The sequence below is a fragment of the Homo sapiens genome, chromosome 18, assembly GCF_000001405.40.
Source record: "Homo sapiens chromosome 18, GRCh38.p14 Primary Assembly".
Classification (NCBI taxonomy): domain Eukaryota; kingdom Metazoa; phylum Chordata; class Mammalia; order Primates; family Hominidae; genus Homo; species Homo sapiens.
The window spans coordinates 8770354-8785556 of NC_000018.10; the positions used below are offsets into that span (position 1 = coordinate 8770354).

The following is a 15203-nucleotide window of genomic DNA, read 5'->3' on the forward strand; positions in this document are numbered from 1 at the left end:
AGGGGCTTAAAGAACACATTTATTTCTCACAGTTCTGGAAGCCTCAGAGTCCAGGGTTGAGTTGGGTTCTGGTGAGGACCTTCTTTCTGGCTTGCAGAAAGCTGCCTTCTCGATGAATCCTCCCGTGGCAGAGGGAGGAAGCTCTGGTGCCTCTTCCTCGTCTTACAAGGACGCTAATCCCATTGTGGGGGTTCCACCTTCATGACCTCATTGCAACCTAGTTACGTCCCAAAGGCCTCACTTCTAATACCAGCACGTTGAGAATTAGGGCTTCCACATAGGAATTTGGGGAGACACAAACATTTAGTCCATAACAGATGTGTAAAGAGAGTTTAGCATTGTGCCTGGCATGAGTGGGTGCCCAACACATATGGTAGTTGTTAATATCATTATCATCACTGTGCTCTTAACAAGGCCAAGGAGAAAGGGTTTCCTTTGCATTATTGCTAAGGAGGGTTTTCCACTGGATCTGAGAAGTGGATTTGTTTTTTTGGGTCCTGTTGTGTAATTCCAGTGCAAGGTGAAGCAAGCAGCTCCATGGTGTGAAAGGAAGCAGGCTCCCCGGAACTATTAAAGGGATAGGTGAAAACATAAATAAATAAATAATACCTCTTATGGCATAATATTTAGAATAAAAACAAATAAAATAAAGGGATGAGTGAACAGGAGGAAGGGGGAGGAGGCATCTTCCAGCCAGGACATAGTGCCCGTGGCTGAACGAGAGGCTAATTAATTCGCATCCTTCACATCTTCTGGCACTTAAATGACAACTTTAATATGGGTAAAATAATCTTTTTTTAAAAATTATTTTATATGATAGAGATGGGGTCTCGCAATGTTGCTCAGGCTACTCTTGAACTCCTGGCCTCAAATGATCCCCCTACCTCAGCCTCCCAAAGTGCTGGGATTACAGGCGTGAGCTCCCATGACCGATTTAATATGAGTAAAGGAATCTTAATAACTTCCTTCTAAAAGGGAGAAGAAGACCTCTGCACCTTCATTTCCTTAATCTGGTTTTATACCTGTGTGTCTTATAAACTACCCCCCAAAAACCTACAAACTTTCTAAATAATAAGAATCTGTAAGAATTCTGAAAATTATCAGTCTGCATCTACATCCTCGTTCCCATACTGACTTATAATTTACAGCATCCTAATTTTTATTTGTCTCCTTTTATTACCAATCTAAATTTTTTAAAAATTTAGACTTTCAAAGTCTGTCTCTGACACACTTTAGCAATTGAGAGCTTATTAATTTTTCTGAAATTGTGTGGAAGAAATTGGCCAACTTAAAATAGGAAGCATTAAGAATTGACATGAAAGTCCAAATAATTGCCTAACTTCATATTTTATTTAATCATTTTCAGTACTCAGCAAGGCATCAGCTTTAGATGGATTCAATTTGGATTCACAAACTTAATTTTTTTTTCTTTTCAGTAGGAATATGCAATTGATTTGCTGGCAATTGATCAGGCTAAAAGGAGGGAGTAGAATTAGTCACCAGGCAAAGCCCCCACTGGGGGGGTTCCTGTTATTTAATAGTCTGCATTTACCTGTTCCCTTCATTGTTCCTTGGAAGAGACTCTCCACTGGCTCTCTGAGGCATCCAGAGGAATAAACTGGGCATGACTAATGTACACGCAAATTGTCCTGCACCCGTGGACACTTCACCCAGAGTCCGGTGGCATCTAGCACGCTACACTGGACGAGACCCTGGCAGGTGGCCATTGAGGAGCCTGCGTGGCTCTGTGCTTGGAGGCACAGTGATTGTTCCTCATGACTGCTTGGCACTTGGCCAGGGGACCATATGCCTGGAGTTGTGTAATGCAGTGGGATACCTGGCCAGTTTCCCCAACCCTCAGGGGGCTTCCTGGTCTTTTTAACCAACCACATATGCATAGGCTATATTCGAAGGACCAAGCTGATGAAAACAATATCAGCTTGTGGGAAGAGACCCAAGAAATCGGTGAATAACTTCCATTGAATTGTCATTGCAATCCCACATAGGAGATCTGTGATAGTCTCTTTTCTCTGACGTCTTTAAAATACAAGTTTTATTTTCCTGACCTTTTTTTTTCCATTTTAAAGGAAATAGTACTTACTGTAGATCATTTATGAAAAGCCACAAAGAAAGAAAATGAAAATCACTAATAATTCTGTCACCTGAACATGATGACCATTAACATTTGGGGGTGTACTGCTCCAGGCCACTTTCCTTATATGTATATATGTTATATATTATTATGTTATATATATGTGTTATATATTAGTATTTAATATGTATGTTAACATAAACATACATGTTATGTATATAACATAAAAAGTATGTTATATCTTAAATATAAATATATTTTAAGCATTTTGAGATCACTAAATATATGCTGTCTGTAACCTGTATTTTCTTTATAGTGTATTATGAGCATTTCCTATATCCTTAAATAGTCTTCAAAAGCATGACTGTGTCTAGAAATATAGTATACAACATGAGGACTATAATGAGTCCTATTGTATTGTGTACTAGTGATTTGTTAAGAGCATAGCTTTTAGGGATGCTAACCCTAAATAAAATAATAAAAATAATAAGAAAGAAAGGTAACTGTATGAGATGATGGTTATGTTGATTTGCCTAACTGTAGCAATCATTTCACTATGTGTATTCTGAGATGAGCATATCAAAACATCATGTTGTGTATCTTAAATATATACAATAAAATAAAAGGAAAAAATTGTAATACCTCCATAGTACTCACTCACGATGATAGAAGGTGCGGTGAAGAGTATTCTCATTTATAAATCTTGGTGCATGTCTCTTGTCCTTAGGGTATGTTCTCAGAGGTGGAATTACACCTCTCAACCTATGCCTTTGTAAGGCCAAGTTGCACCACCATCCCCCTGCACCCCCTGCCATGCTGCGGGTTTCTCATGCCCCTTCATGTGCACAGAAGTGCCCGTCTCCCTGGGTTCATGCTAACACTGAGTGCCCTACTTTTTTGAGTCTATAAATGTCTAAGTGAAAAAAAATCTTGTTTTAATTGTCAGTAATTGTGTTTATTGGCCGTTTGTTTATTTTATTAAGATGTGTTTTCTGTTGCTTGCAAGATACTACTCTTTTGTCTGTCACGTGTTAGAAAAATCTTTTTTCCAGTTTGTCATTTGCCTTTTAATACTATAAGTGGTTTCTTTTGATGTATTCTTTTTAAAAGTTAAAAATCTTACCAATCTATCAATCTTTTCTCTGGATGTTTCTGCTTTTGTTTCTGTGTTTATAAAGAACACACATCAATTCATCTTTTTTTTCTCGTTCCTTGTATGTTTTTTTGCATCTAAAATTTTAATTCATCTAAGATTTATCTGTATATAGTGTGTGTCTCACCTTTTTTGATCTCACAATATGTTTAGTTGTTTCACCAACACATACCAAATAGTTCATCCTTTCCTCACTAGTTCAAAATATGACCTGTATTGATTATTAAAATCTCATATATTCTTTATTTCTGAGCCTTCTATTTAGTTTCATTAATCTGTCTATCTTATACCAGCACCGAACCATTGTATTGAATTTTTATATCTAATAGCACAAATACTGTCATTATTTTTCCTTTTCAAAGTGTTCTTGGCAATTTTCACCAATTTATTTTTCTAAATTGAGGTCAGCAAAGTAGTTTGAGGCTTTGCAGGCCCCAACAGTTTGTCACTAGTGCTCTACTCCGCCCTCGCAGTGGAGAGCAGCCATAGACAGTGATAAATGAAGCTGTATTCTAATTAAAGTTTGTTTACAAAACAGGCTGTGGGTTGATTTGTCCTGAGGGCCATGGTTCGCCAACTTCTGTTCTTGATGAGTTTTTGAATTACTTTGTCCATTCTTACCACACTCACAAACACATACACACACTCTTTTCGAATGTGTGTGTGTGTGTGTGTGTATTTTTTTTTAAGGAATTTGGTTAAAATGACATCATGCTTACAAAATGGTTTGGAAGAAACATGGCGTCTTTATTACAAGGTCTTCCCATTAGGCAGCATTAAGCATTATTTTATGCTGATCTTCAATGTTCTATGGTTTCTTTTATACAGGTTCTGCAAATTTCTGGTCTTTCTTTCTTTTCTTTCTTTTCTTTCTTTTCTTTTTCTTTCTTTCCTTCTGTTTTCTTTCTTTCCTTCTCCTTACTCTGTTGCCCAGGCTGGAGTGCAACGGCGCCATCTCAGCTCAGTGCAACCTCCACCTCCCGGGTTCAAGCAATTCTCCTGCCTTTGTCTCCTGAGTAGCTGGGATTACAGGCGTAAGCCACGACGCCCAGCTAATTTTTGTATTTTTAGTAGAGACAGAGTTTCACCGTGTTGGCCAGGCCAGTGTCAAACTCCTGACCTCAAGTAATCTGCCCACTTCGGCCTCCCAAAGTGCTGGGATTGCAGGCATGAGCCACCGCCCCTGGCCTCTGGTTAACTTTAAAACTTTAACCCTTGCAGTGTTTTTCATTCTAGTTGCCACTGTGAATGGAGTCTGTGAATGGAGGAGGAGTGTCCCATGACTCCCTGCCTGTTCTGTGATTTGCTAGGAGGATGGCAGGACTCAGGGCTACAGTTGACAGCCCATAAGCAAGGGGAAGGGACACATGGGGTAGGGGTGGCTAGAAGAGTCCATCCAAGGGCTCCCACCCAGAATGTGCTCTAGCCACCAGCCTCATTTGCAGCAGCCCATGATTCTGCGTAGATTTTGTCTCCAGTTCTAGCTTTCATTTTACTTCATTTAGTTTTCTTTCAGTGCGTACATTGGGAGAATGTGATGAAAGCCAGGGACAGCAGGCTCTGCCCTCACTGCGGGCCCTGATCGCTATTACAGCCCTGGAATTAAGTCCCTTAGGTTAAAGCTTGGGAGAGAGCCTGCTGATTCATCAGGATTTATCTCACTCAGCTCATTCAAATAAAAGAAACTTCTGGCCGGGCACGGTGGCTCAATCCTGTAATCCCAGCACTTTAGGAGGCTGAGGCAGGTGGATCACCTGAGGTCAGGAGTTCGAGACCAGCCTGGCCAACATGGTGAAACCTCGTCTCTACTAAAAAAAAAAAAAAAAAAGCTGCGCATGGTGGTGCACACCTGTAATCCCAGCTACTGGGGAGGCTGAGGCAGGCGAATCGCTTGAACCGGGGAGGCAGAGGTTGCAGTGAGCCGAGATTGCACCACTGCACTCCAGCCTGGGCGACAGAGAAAGATTCCGTCTCAAAACAAAACAAAACAAAAGAAACTTCTTAACTGAAGCATGAAGGTAGAAATCTTGGGGAACTTCCTTATTAAGGGTGGAGAAACTCAAGCTGTCTTTAAGACAGGCTTACCTTTACCTGTTGGAGGATACTGGTTCTCTTTGTAGTGTGACCCACTTTACCAAAAAGACTAAAGGAAATAAAGCCTTCTGCAGCTGGGGTTCCTTCCACCTTTGTTAGTCAGGGAGCCTGCTGCCCCTGCTCCATGATGATTCTGTGACCCTCTTCAGCCCTCTGCTCGGAGGGCCTTCTCTCAGTTATCTATTTTATATTTTCCGGGTCTCCAGCCTCCTAGAGGCTCAGGGGCAGCTAGAATTTTAACTGTTTCTTAACCTAGGATTCTTCCCACAAATGGCAAGGGCTGGCATTCTGAGAGTGAGGCACTTAAAATGTGAACAGTGCTGAGTTAATGAACTTAAGTTCTAACTGCGATGTAAGGGACTTGCATAGAGCCTCCTTTGCAAACTCTTCTGATACAGGGTGGGCACCCAGGAATAAAGCCGAGAGAGTCAGGGCTCTGAGCAGACCTCAGATGAGGCCCTGGACCCCGAGGTGGAACTGCAGAGGGGAGGGAGGTGGGCGTTGGGGACAGTCTCTTTCCTTTCGCAGGCTTGCCTTGACAGGTCTGGGGCCGGCAGAGCTCTGCTTCCCCACCTGCTTCCTTCTAGCTTTCCTCAGGATTAACTTAATCTTTGCAGATTAAGAGGCTACAAATCCCTTCATATTCCTCTAGGATGCTTCTCACTCCTCATTTCTTTCTGCCTTCACACTTTCCCTTTGCAGGAGCTGGCATATCTCCCAGTTGGTCTGTTGCAGACACCTCTAGGCCCCTTCACTCATACTCCTGTTTGTATTTTCAGATGTATTTGCAATTTCTTGTCTATAATGTAAAACTAGGCAGGGTTCCCAGGCACTGAAGGACACAGCCAAGGCCTTCATTTCACATGGGAATAAGTTATGAGCTTTGTAAGATCTTTAAGATAGAGGTTTAGCCATGAGTTGGAGTGGGTTTCCTGAGAATTTCAAAACCTAGTTAGGTTTTCTCTGTAAACAAGGGCCGCCCTTCTCTTCCTTCACACCACTTTTTATCTGGCCACTCAGGAAACACTAGTTATTTATTTATTTATTTATTTATTTATTTATTTATTTATTTATTTATTTTGAGACAAGGTCTTGCTCTGTTGCCCAGGCTAAAGTACATGGCTATAGGCCTGATCATAGCTCATTGCAGCCTCGAACTCCTGGACTCAAACAATCTTCCCGCCTCAGTCGCCCTAGTAGCTGAGACTACAGGCACATGACTCCACACCCAGCTAAGTTTTTAAAAATTATTTTTTGTGTGGCTGGGCGTGGTGGCTCACGCCTGCAATCCCAGCACTTTGGGAGGCTGAGGCAGGTGGATCACGACGTCAGGAGATTGAGACCATCCTGGCTAACACGGTGAAACCCCGTCTCTACTAAAAATACAAAAAAAATTAGCCAGGCGTGGTGGCAGGTGCCTATAGTCCCAGCTACTTGGGAGGCTGAGGCAAGAGAATGGCATGAACCCGGGAGGTGGAACTTGCAGTGAGCTGAGATCACACCACTGCACGCTAGCCTGGGTGACAAAGTAGTGAGACTCCATCTCAAATAAAAAACAACAACAACAAAATTCTTTTTTGTGGAGACAAGGTCTTATTACTCTGTTGTTCAGGCTGGTCTCAAACTCCTGGCCCCAAGTGATCCTCCCGCCTTGGTATCCCAAAGCATTGGGATTATAGGCATGAGCCACTGCACCTGGCCAGGAAACACCAATTAATTCTCACATTAGCCCAAACAAAACATGATTTGGAACGTGAACCAGCTCCAGAAATATGAGTTATCTGTTTCCCAAACTTCCTGCCTTTCTCCTCTTCTTCTTGCCTTCTCTGCACTGTTAAAGTTATCCCAGCCACTCTCCTTTTTCATTAAACTGAACACTTAAGGAATACCCCAAATACAATAATTAGGATTTTAAGAATCTTAAGATTCAGAGACCTCATCTAACTTCTCCAACTGCATTTACACATTGATGCTTCTTGATTCTAAAGCAAGAAACAAATTTACACAAGTTGTTTCTTGATTCTGGTGGGAAACAGCCTCCGTTCAGTGTGTGTGTCCCCACCCATGGGGACGATGTTTGCTAATGCTGGCTATCACGTGTGAGCCCTTGGTCACAGAATGTCACTTGGATCTATTTCAGAGTTCCCTAAAAAGAAGAAGCACTCGGGAAATGTACAAGGAGAAGAAAACCTTTAACCAGGTAAGCAGAGGTTTTCATTCTAATGTTACATCTCCTATAAGTGAAGTCAACTCATTTTGAATGTTTTTCAGTAAGTGTTAGCTTTGCCTTTAAAACATCCAAAGAAACATTACCTGCCCAAACACGTGGACTCATTCCTAACCTCCACAGTGTGAACATTTTCTTTGCAAACCCACAGCTCCTCCCTCTTGTTTCTCCCTCACGCTGACAAGCTGGTGATTTCTTCAGGAAAAAGAACTGGCTTTGTGTAAAACAGAATTAAGTGTAGTTTGGGGGCCTGACAGTACTTATAAATGGTAAAAAGTGTTTTGACCTTCAAAGTCATCCACACAGTGAAATGAAACAGCCACTGTGGTGTCGAGTCATTCATAAGACATTGTTTTGAATGTTGTTGTTTTTTAAATGTGCAAGCTGAACGATATCTTGAATGGTCCTAATTGAAGGTAAAATATTCTCAGCCTTTTCTAGATGCACAGTATGTATTCTTCAAAACTTTCTTAGCTTTTCTGTAAAGCTGTTTTACTGGATTCTGTTTTTAAATTGCTGCTAGCATTAGGTGGTGGAGAGAACAAAGGTGTTATTGGGATATCAGCTCACTGCACTCTGAGAGCAAGTAGTAATTAGAGAGACACAATGAGTCGGGGTAACTAAGAGCTCAGCAACCTCCACCGACCTCCTGCAGCCCTGTCCCTGTGAATTCCCCTCTGAAGGATCCCCTGGGTTTCTCCATTCTCCAAACTCACTGATCCCCAGGGCATCATTCAAGGGGGGGCAGGCCCCTGCAGCAGCAGAAAGCTCAACTGTTCCCTTCCACCCTCCCCAACCTCCCAGTCTCATTTTGGAATCCATTAATAACAGGGAAATTAAAGTCTGCCATCCCGTTGCTGGGTGCTTATACTCTTCTGGGCTGAGAGTGTTTTCAGTTGACTGGCTCTTGCCCAGGGAAGATCTTTTCCTTAAAAGGGGAAATTCTGCCCCATTGTGAAATGAACAGCATGGAGTTGCATTCGCCCTGAGGGTAAAACAGGCCAGGAACAGGAGCTGCTGCTCCTTGGGCGCGTGTCAGAAACCCTGGTACCTGGGATGCGTTGAGCCGCCCACCCAGCCGGTGGGATTATTGAGGAAGGAGTTTCTGTTCAGCAGAATGGTGGAATGGAGCGCCCTGGGAACTGCAGGCCCGCAACCAAAACCCAAAGGAAGCTGGCGCCCCGGCGCAAGGTAGGCACGTGGGCAGTCACCCGCTCAGGGTGCTGGCTGGACGGCTGACTTGCAAGCCAAAGAATATATACAGAGAGCGATATATTTCTGTTGCTTGACAAGGCCTTTCCCGCTGGTGGTGATGGTGGTGGGCCCCTGGGTGTCTCCCCTCCTGGCCATGCCTGCCCTCTGCCTGCAACAGGAATCGTGTGTCATATGGAAAGTTGGACTTGACCTACTTTCATACCACATTCCTGGGGCTATCCAATGATCTCTCGAAACCAGAAATGATATGCTTCAGTTTAGACTCGGCCTTGAACCCCCGCCTCCGCTAGACTCTTGGCAGAGTTTTAAGAAGTCTACGGTTACAAGATAAGATGGGCATCCAGCCTCCCGCTGCCTGAGCTGAAGCTGTGATTCCACATCTTATGAGAAGGAGTGGCTTCCCCTACTCAGAACAGGCCGAGCTCAGCTTCCCTCAGGCCGCCCCTCTCCTGTACACAACACCCGGCAGGTGCAGCGGGCCCTGCTCCAGCTGCCTCGACCTCACGGAAGACGTCTGACTCCTTCATTTAATATACACTCTCCCATGGCTTCCAGGACAGTCTTTCTTTCAAACCCTGCTTTAGTCTTGGTGGCAGGCCTCATAGTGCATGTGTGGTTGTTAAGTAGAAATGACAGCATGCTGTCATGCTGACAGCTTTTTTCTTTAAGGAACGAGAAGACGTTTTGGACATTTTATCAATCCTCAGGTAATCTACAAATTGACCCTTGTTAGAGTATGTCATAGGATCTTGCTGCTTTAACTGACCTGGGTTTAGGTTCATGGAGACGGAGGAGAATTGTTCTATGATAGATTTGTAGTGGATGGTGGACAGAGGGTGATGGTGTGAGGTTGAAGGTTTCCAGAAATCAAGGTGATTTGAGGGCTCTATGGGGACCTTCTGCCTGCATGAGGGGGTGCAGATAAGCACGTATAACCTCCAGCGTGTTTCAGGACCCTTCAGAGATCTTACCTCCTTCCCCAATTTTTCACTTCAACTTGTTGGGGAAGACCCCCAGGGGTTGGTCGTATTACCCTGAGCCTTCCTTGTCATATCATTTTTCCCCTTCCGTGGGGTTTGTGGTGAACAAGGAGGGACCAGGCAGAGTGGGACTGCCTGAGTCCCTGGTCCACACGCCTGTTTGAGCCAAAAGCTTCCCGCACCATGCAGGCAACTCTGCCCCTCGCCTGCACCTCCTGGACTGGCTCCACCACATCAAGGCCTCACCAGCTGCAAGTTTCCACGGATGCTGGTCACAGCAGGCGGCCCTGCCCCCACCTTGTCCAGCCCAGTCTCGAGCCCCAGGCTCAAGAAGGGTGGAGAGTGGGGCTGAGTTTCCTTGCAGCTGGACAATGCTGCCCTCTGTGATCTCTGCTGCTGTGGATTTCTCTGCTTTAGAGGTGGAGATGGGATCATTTAGATGATTTTTGACAATGGACAGACACTGGCTCTCAAGTTAACAATGGGGCTGAGGGCACTCCCCTGTTTTCTGGTCCCAAGCTTTTAAGTGTTTACAATCCATTTCCATTGATAGATATTTTAGCTTAAACTCCATTCCTTCATGGGAACAACAAAGACCTGTCTATGTATTTGGATTTCTTACAAATCTGTGTTTAACAAAAATTGAAAAGGTGCTTGTGTTTGCTGTACTTTTGAAAGTTCTAAGAAGCTGGGGTTGTTTAAAAGTAACATGCCAACTTCTGGTACATACTAGGTACTTAATAAATATTTCCTGAAAGAATGAATGAACAAGGCCAGGTGTGGTGGCTCATACCTGTAATCCCAGCACTTTGGGAGGCTGAGGTGGTGGATCATCTGAGGTCAGGAGTTTGAGACCAGCCTGGCCAACATAGCGAAACCTCATCTCTACCAAAAATACAAAAATTAGCTGGGCATGGTGGCACACTCCTGTAGTCCCAGCTACTCGGGAGGCAGAGGCAGGGGGCAGGAGAATTGCTTGAACCTAGGAGGCAGCGGTTACAGTGAGCCAAGATTGCGCCATTGCAGTCCAGCCAGAGTGCAGACTCCAGAGCAAGACTCCATCTCAAAAAAAAAAAAAAAAAAAAAAAAAAGAATGAATGAACAGATAAACGAGCATGCTTTTCCTCTAGTATTAGTATTAAACACAACGTATGCCTTTTACAGCCCATGTATTCTGTGTAGGTTCTTTCAAAAAATACGTCATTACCCCAGCAGCGATGATAGCATAGCCCATTTGCCTCAGTAGTTGTGAGTAGGGCAGACAGCCTTACTTCAAGTTAGTCACAGGATTGCTTTTTATGTCTACCTAACCCAAACCCAACCAAATCCTTCATGTGATAAGTTCTCAGAACTCAAAGACCATGTGACATTTATATGTTATTCTCCTAACGTGCAAAGAAGGAAAAAGACTCTTTACCGGCTCCTTTACCCAATACTAATTGTGTTTCAGACAAATAAGAAAATTAATTTCAGGGAGCTAGAGCATGGTGATTTATCATACACAAACCAGTTTATATATAATAAATACACTTTTTAGGTTTATGATTTATCATATACAGACCATTATTTCATTTGACCCTCACAACGACGTTGTGGTTAAGTGAGCATTCCTGCTTTAGATACAAAGAGACAGGTTCACCGGGGCTCTGTGATGAGCCCAGGTCCCTTAGACAGTAGGAGGGGCAAAGCTAGGACTCCGGGCAGCATGTTTGACCCCAAGTCCAGCAGGCCTGGTTTTGTCCTCAGCTAAGAGATGACAGTGGGCGTGTCATCCTCCCGAGGACGCACAGATAGCGCCAGGGCAAGCTTTCCCTGTGGCAGTGGCTGCACACTTGGTCGTAGGTGTTGGGCTGAGCCTTCCTGGTCATATCGTTTTCCCCCTTTCCATGGGGTTTGTGGTGAGCAAGGAGGGACCAGGTAGAGTGGAAGGAGGAAAGTTGGGAGGCGCCGAGGGAGGCATTTCTCTTTCTGCCAAATGATGAGTGTGCGACCAGACTGCGGCAGAGAACGAGCCATGCTCTCTGAGTGTAAAAGCTGCATTGTGAGCACACGTGACGATCCGAAGGAGTTAATTCTCCCCCGGGGGCTGACTTGTTCCACAGAAGGGGCGACAGGCCTGGAGAGCAGTTTGAAGCCTTTTCCTCCACGAGGGCTGTGGGATTTGACTCCCGCAGTGCTGTTGTTGACAGTTTCTCTGTGTGATGGGGGAAACCTTTGCTGAAGCCTTTTGAAACTTTTGATGGCCGATCAAAGAGGAGTGATTCGTGAAATCGGTTATTTTTCCCATCTGCTGAATGTGAACAGTAAAACGTTTTTGCAAAACCAAAACGGGGAGTTCATCTGGCTTCAAAACAAGGAGACCAGCCCTGCAAAGCAGCGTTGACTTTCCACTGGACCCAAAAAGTGCCGTTTTGACCTCAGCCAAGCATTGCAGGCTGTGAACAGCAGAGTCAGCTTTTGAGGATCCTCCAGAACCCTCTGGAAGCCCTATGAGGACACTTCTTAGGTTTTGATACACTTGACTCTATCCAACACTTACCTCCTTGCCTTGGGTCTCTGGGTTTAATTTCCTGCTGTGTTATAGCAACTAAAGGGAAAGGAACGTAAGTAAAGGCTCTGAAGTTGCACTTGCATGGCAAGAGGCTGCAAGGAGCTCAGGTGTCTGGGTCTGCAGTACCCAGTGTGTACCCAGAGCTCGGTACTGACTCAGTACGTGCCTGGACTTCCAAACACCTTCATGCTCATACCTCATGTTTTTGTCATGTCATTCTTGTGGGACATTAGGGCTGGGGAGACCGGGATGGGGAGAAGCGAATTGCCCTGTCTCAGGTACCTTAGGAAACCAGGGGAAAGCTGAGCTCTCATTTGGGGTGGCCTGACTTCCCCATCCTGGTCAGACCTTGTGGATTGTGGGCCACTTTGAAAGAGGGAGGTCTGCACGTTGGAGGTGGTGAGTGCAGCAGGGTGGAACCCTGTCTGCCTGCACCAGGCCTTGGTGAGGGGTCCTGCTGTCTCTCACTGGTGCTGGTGAGTAACCAGGTGGGATCCAGAGAGCAAGGAGGGGTTGCGCATTCCCGCTGGGTTTTGGGCCTCATTTCGTTTTCCCTTCTTTGCCCATAACTTGTATGATGGTTTCCACGTGCACTTTTTTTTTTCCAAACTAATTTTTTTTTGTTTCTTTTGCTTCTGTGGCAAAGCAACAAACTGTAGGCCTTTCACAGGCCCCCTCCACAAAGCCCCTGGGCCCACCTCTGCTTTGTCTTGGCTGTTTCTCTATGTAACTCAGCGGCACCGATGGGAAGATCGGTGTTTGATGTTTGTGTGCATTGGGGGCGAGGTGTGAGGGGAATCATGAAAAACACGAACATTTGGTATTTTCAAATAACCCTTCTCCCGGGCTGTTCTCTCCTGGCAGGATGACAGTGCCGATTTGAGGTGCCAGCTCCAGTTTGCCAAAGAGGAAGCCTTCCTGATGCGCAAAAAGATGGCCAAGCTAGGAAGGGAGAAGGACGAGCTGGAGCAGGAGCTCCAGAAGTACAAGTCCCTCTATGGGGATGTGGACAGTCCCCTGCCCACGGGGGAAGCAGGCGGGCCCCCCAGCACCCGGGAGGCCGAGCTGAAGCTGCGGCTAAAGCTGGTGGAGGAGGAAGCCAACATCTTGGGCCGGAAGATCGTGGAGCTGGAGGTGGAGAACCGTGGCCTCAAGGCAGAGATGGAGGACATGCGGGGCCAGCAGGAGCGGGAGGGCCCGGGTCGGGACCACGCACCCAGCATTCCTACCTCACCCTTCGGTGACTCCCTGGAGTCCTCCACTGAGCTCCGCCGCCACCTGCAGTTTGTAGAAGAGGAAGCGGAGTTGCTCCGGAGGTCCATCTCCGAGATCGAAGACCACAACCGGCAACTGACCCACGAGCTCAGCAAGTTTAAGTTTGAGCCTCCCCGGGAGCCGGGCTGGCTAGGAGAGGGTGCAAGTCCTGGTGCCGGGGGTGGGGCCCCCCTGCAGGAGGAGCTGAAGTCAGCCAGGCTGCAGATCAGCGAGCTCAGCGGCAAGGTGCTCAAACTGCAGCACGAGAACCACGCGCTGCTGTCCAACATCCAGCGCTGCGACCTGGCAGCCCACCTGGGGCTGCGTGCCCCCAGTCCCCGGGACAGCGATGCCGAGAGTGATGCGGGCAAGAAGGAGAGTGATGGGGAGGAGAGCCGCCTGCCCCAGCCCAAGCGGGAAGGGCCTGTTGGCGGGGAGAGTGACTCGGAGGAAATGTTTGAGAAGACGTCGGGCTTCGGGAGCGGGAAGCCATCGGAGGCCAGCGAGCCATGCCCCACGGAGCTCCTGAAGGCCCGGGAGGACTCTGAGTACCTAGTGACCCTAAAACACGAGGCCCAGCGGCTAGAGCGGACGGTGGAGCGCCTCATCACGGACACCGACAGCTTCCTCCATGATGCGGGGCTGCGGGGTGGTGCGCCCTTACCGGGGCCTGGCCTCCAGGGCGAAGAGGAGCAGGGTGAGGGGGACCAGCAGGAGCCCCAGCTGCTGGGGACCATCAACGCCAAGATGAAGGCTTTCAAGAAAGAGCTGCAGGCCTTCCTGGAGCAGGTGAACCGCATTGGGGATGGCCTATCCCCCTTGCCCCACCTCACAGAGTCCTCTAGCTTCCTCTCCACTGTGACTTCCGTGTCCCGGGACTCCCCCATCGGGAACCTGGGGAAGGAGCTGGGCCCAGACTTGCAGGTAAGGGGGCTCGTGGCTTCGCCTCCCTGCTCCGCCTTGCTCTTCCTCCTTCTCGCTGGCATTGCTGCACTCGGGCTCACGCTGCTCACGGCTGCTTGGTTATGATTTCAAACCTGCATTGTACTAAAGCCTCCGGGGCAACCGGATCCTCTCTCTTGGTTGGGCTCCGTTTTTTTTGTTTTTTTTTTTTTTAAGTTCTCTTGTATTGCCTTGTTTCTTTTTCCTTTCTCCTGTCTTATTTTTAACTGCGCCGCGGCTCATGGTTTAGAGGCCCTCCCAGACACGAGGCTGAGCCCAGTGGAAGCGATAGGGCTCGACGCATGCCGGCCTTGCTCCTCTCTTGGTATCTCAACCAACCAGCCACCCGCTGAAGAAGCCGTGAGGAGGCTAAGACAAACGCATGTCACAGTCAGGATAATTAGCAGACTCGCTAACGAGCACGTCCCTTCCTGGGTGTGTTTCAAGGGACACAGTGCAGTCCAAGGCCCTAGGCAGCCCAGGCCCCCACTCCCACTGGAGGATCAGCCAAAGCGGGCGAGGAGCACGGTGCTGAGAAGGATGGTTTTGGTGGAAAAGCTCTGCTGGCTCCTGCCGCCCTGCCGCCGCTGGGGAGGGCGCGGAGGGTCTCCGAGGACTGCTGTCCTAGCCTCGCCTGGGTGCATGGCCCAGCTGCCGCCCTGGACTGTGGCTTTGGCTGCTCGACCCACAAGTAA

General features: G+C 46.9%; 1 protein-coding gene across 33 annotated transcripts in view, besides 2 other annotated features; it reads left to right on the forward strand.

Moving 5' to 3' along the window:
• Nucleotides 1-15203, forward strand: part of MTCL1 (microtubule crosslinking factor 1) — a 127223-nt gene that overhangs the window by 64798 nt on the left and 47222 nt on the right. For 19 of the 33 annotated variants that reach the window (XR_002958167.2, XR_007066128.1, XM_024451115.2 and 16 more), the window contains 3 exons: nt 7480-7539; nt 8680-8757; nt 13177-14490. Coding sequence is in view for 31 of the 33 variants with exons in the window: in XM_024451115.2 (XP_024306883.2) it covers nt 7480-7539; nt 8680-8757; nt 13177-14490 (1452 nt within the window). In the remaining 2 variants the exon portion in view is untranslated. The remainder of the gene's footprint in view (nt 1-7479; nt 7540-8679; nt 8758-13176; nt 14491-15203) is intronic. The other 14 variants (XM_024451112.2, NM_001378206.1, NM_001395333.1 and 11 more) reach the window with 2 other exon arrangements.
• Nucleotides 1215-1715: an enhancer, noted in NCBI's record as "H3K4me1 hESC enhancer chr18:8771566-8772066 (GRCh37/hg19 assembly coordinates)". NCBI's record gives its function as "activates a minimal SCP1, AML or CMV promoter by ChIP-STARR-seq in naive H9 embryonic stem cells {active_cell/tissue: H9 hESC(naive)}" and the evidence as "EXISTENCE:reporter gene assay evidence [ECO:0000049][PMID:30033119]".
• Nucleotides 1716-2216: an enhancer, noted in NCBI's record as "H3K4me1 hESC enhancer chr18:8772067-8772567 (GRCh37/hg19 assembly coordinates)". NCBI's record gives its function as "activates a minimal SCP1, AML or CMV promoter by ChIP-STARR-seq in naive H9 embryonic stem cells {active_cell/tissue: H9 hESC(naive)}" and the evidence as "EXISTENCE:reporter gene assay evidence [ECO:0000049][PMID:30033119]".